Raw genomic sequence first — 3,311 nt, 5'->3', positions numbered from 1 at the left:
TTAGACGGAAGGAGGAATCTCCTTCTACAGGGAGTAGCGAGTGAGAAGGTGGAGAATCAGAGTTCCCACCATGACAGTTCCCTATATGAAGAAAATGGGTGGATAAAGGCAGAAGTTCCCACCTTTATGAGATGAAGTGGGAACATGGGGGAAAGAGCACATGGGATTTTTCATCCAGGCCTCTTGGCCTTTGTGTCCCTAGCCACTGGCATGAGACTAGCCCAACATAGGTATCAGTTAGTGCTTGCTGACAGAATGGTTGAATAGACCGTGGAATACTACCCAGTCGTGAAAAAGAATGAAATCATATTCTTTCCAGCAGCACGGATGGAACTGGAGGCCATTATCCTAACTGAAATAACTCAGAAAGTCAAATGCCACATGTTCTGACTTAAACGTGGTAGCTAAACAAAGAGTACAGATGGACATAGACAGTAGAATAATAGACACTGGATACAACAAAAGGTGGGAGGGTGGGAGGAATGTGAGGGTTGAAAACTGCCTATTTGGTACAGTGTTCATTCTTCAGGTGATGGGTACACTAAGAGCCCAGACTTTACCACTATGTGATATATGCATGGAAGGAACATGCACTTGTAACCCCCCAAATATATGAAAATACATTAATTTAAAAATCAAAATAAAAGCATAAAAATAAATAAATTACCATAGACTTATGATAACAGGAAAAAAAAAAGAATGGATGAATGAGTGAGGAGTGACAGTGGCTGATGAATTTGTGGTCATGCCCTTCTTTCCATTTCTCTCAGTTACTAATTAGTATCGCTGGGCTTTGTGGTATAAATGGAACTCATTCTCAACTTCACAAGCCTGTCAGTGAAAGCCCCTCAGAATCTTTTGCAACCTCACCTTTTGCCGCATCCATCATGAAGTTGTGTTGTCATCTAAGATGAGCTCCTGCTAGGTGGGCACTGGGAGGTGGACAGAAGGTAGGACCAAGAGCCTGACTGTGCCACTGCCCCAGGCCTCAGGGGCTCCTTGTTAACCTAATGAAGTGAGCTCTGTGTAGAGCTAAGCAGGCCTTGTTGTCTGACAAGGGACAACACAGTAGAGAAGTTGGATGCTGGGAGTGGGTGGGGATCTATGCTTCAACCACTTGTGGTGGAGTAGAAGCAGGGCGGATGCCTCAGTAAGGACTCATAAGGCTGACCGGGGGTTATGGTCCTCTGGAATCAGGGAGATATCAGAACCAACTGTAGTCTCAGCAGAGAACTAAAAAGCTGGGACAGGGAACTGGAGGCCAGCACCCCATTGTAGGAGTTAGCCCACCCAGACAAGGATTACGAGGGGGCTCTCAGAAGGCAAGTCCCCTTCTCTGAATCCACGGATTCCAGCCCGGATACATGTTGATTGCTCTTGGTTGGGCGTGAGGGGCATGTTGGTTTCCCACACTGGCGGAGACAGGCTTACTTCTTGCTGCACTGTGGTGGATGCTGTGATGTGCTGCTGAAGTCTCCCTTCAGTAAGGTCTGATGATCTCAGCTGTAGAGGGTAGTGTCGGCAGAGAAGCTTGAAGTCTGTCAACCTCTTTAAGGATGCTGTCAGAAACCACTCACCTAAGATCACATCCCTTCTTGTGGTGGCCTGTCCAATGAATAGTAGATATGGGAGTATAAAGTTTCTTGGCTCAACTTGAGACAAAGGTGAAAGGTCATTCTAATGCTGGAGCCCCCCATAGCGTCAGCTGAGTCAGCTATTGGGTATGCATCACGTTTGATTTTCTCCTTTTGTTAACCAATCTCCCTTCCCTTCCCTTCCCTCCCCTCCCCTTCCCTTCCCTCCCCTCCCCTCCCCTCCCCTCCCCTTCCCTTCCCTTCCCTTCCCTCCCCTCCCCTCCCCTCTTTCCCCCACTCCCCCGTCTCTCCCCTACCCTCCCCTCCCTTCTGTATTAGTCCATTTTCACATTGCTGATAAAGACATACTTGAGACTGGGCAATTTACAAATGAAAGGTTTATCGGACTCACAGTTCCACGTGGCTGGGGAGGCCTCACAATCATGGCGGAAGGTGAAAGGCACGTCTCACATGGCGGCAGACAAGAGAAGAGAGCTTGTGCAGGGAAAGTCCCATTTTTAAAACCAACAGACCTCGTGACACTTATTCACTATCACGAGAACAGCACAGAAAAGACCCATCCCCATGATTCAGTTATCTTCCACTGGGTCTCTCCCACAACACTTGGTAATTATAGGAGCTACAAGATGAGATTTGGGTGGGGACACAGAGCCAAACCATATCACCTTCTCTTCCACAGGCTTTGATCTGAACAATACTCTTAATAAACATACTGCATGCTAGATACCTCCTGAGGAAGCCAGCATGGACAAACTGAAAACTGTCAAATCTCTAAACAAATTCCAGTAAGGAGGAATGACTTTCTCTCAAGCTCAGTGGTCCCATTCTGTGGTCATCTTGAATGTAGAAAATCCTCCACAACCAGACGCTTCCCATCAATTGGTTCCTATTCTTTCTCTCAGTGTTAGCAGAGTGAGCCAGAATTTGTGACACTTGAGGAGTGTTTTAGCTGAAATTAGTAATCTATAACATGTACGGTCAATAGGCACAGGGCAAAATAGTCACACGAAGGTGACCAACCCTAATTTAATGAGAGTGATTCATCACTTTAAGCAAAGTGCTATTGGCCCCAGAAATTGGAATTGGATCCTTTAGCAGGGATACTAGGAGAGCCTGGGGAAGGGGAAAGGAGGGCACTGCATATGTAGGATCACAGGCCTGTTCGTTCTATTGATGCCCCTGCACACAGAAAATGGACCTTTCTGCAGCAAAGCTGTCACAGAGCAACATTTATAGGTTACATTTAGACGGGAAAATTATTAGCGTAAATATGTTTGGTGTCCCAAAACACAAGTACTGATTAGCTAGTGAGGACAGCATTAGGAGACTCATTAAGAAATATGTTTTTGTCTTTGCCCTGGCCTGAGCATCACAATTACCATCCACACCCACACAAAATGCAAATATAGTTGTAAAACAAATTTTGAAAATTGAGTCCCTCAAGCTTCCTGGTTTCCATGCCAATCGTGTACATCTGACGTCAGTTGGATTCTGACTGCATGAAAAACATATGTTGTTCTAGCCCTTCCACAGCTTCCTAAAACATGTGGCTGACACTTTTTAGGGTGTGTGTAAAAATAAGGCTGCATTGTTAAAGCCCCTTTCCTGAGACATTTCACTATTTGGAGCTGAAAGCACCTGTGCTGTTCTTTCAATGACTTTTGCCTTTTGTGGGATCTCCCTTTCAGTAGAACTTTTCTTTCCTGCTGGTTTAAG

General features: G+C 45.8%; 1 annotated feature.

Annotated features, from left to right (window-relative positions):
• Positions 1,330 to 2,529: an enhancer, noted in NCBI's record as "MED14-independent group 3 enhancer chr16:65966974-65968173 (GRCh37/hg19 assembly coordinates)". NCBI's record gives its function as "activates an origin of replication core promoter dependent on BRD2, BRD4, P300/CBP and CDK7 cofactors, and independent of MED14, by STARR-seq in HCT116 cells {active_cell/tissue: HCT116}" and the evidence as "EXISTENCE:reporter gene assay evidence [ECO:0000049][PMID:35650434]".

Source organism: Homo sapiens, chromosome 16 (genome assembly GCF_000001405.40).
Source record: "Homo sapiens chromosome 16, GRCh38.p14 Primary Assembly".
In the NCBI taxonomy this organism is placed as follows: domain Eukaryota; kingdom Metazoa; phylum Chordata; class Mammalia; order Primates; family Hominidae; genus Homo; species Homo sapiens.
This window is presented reverse-complemented; position numbering and strand designations above follow the sequence as displayed.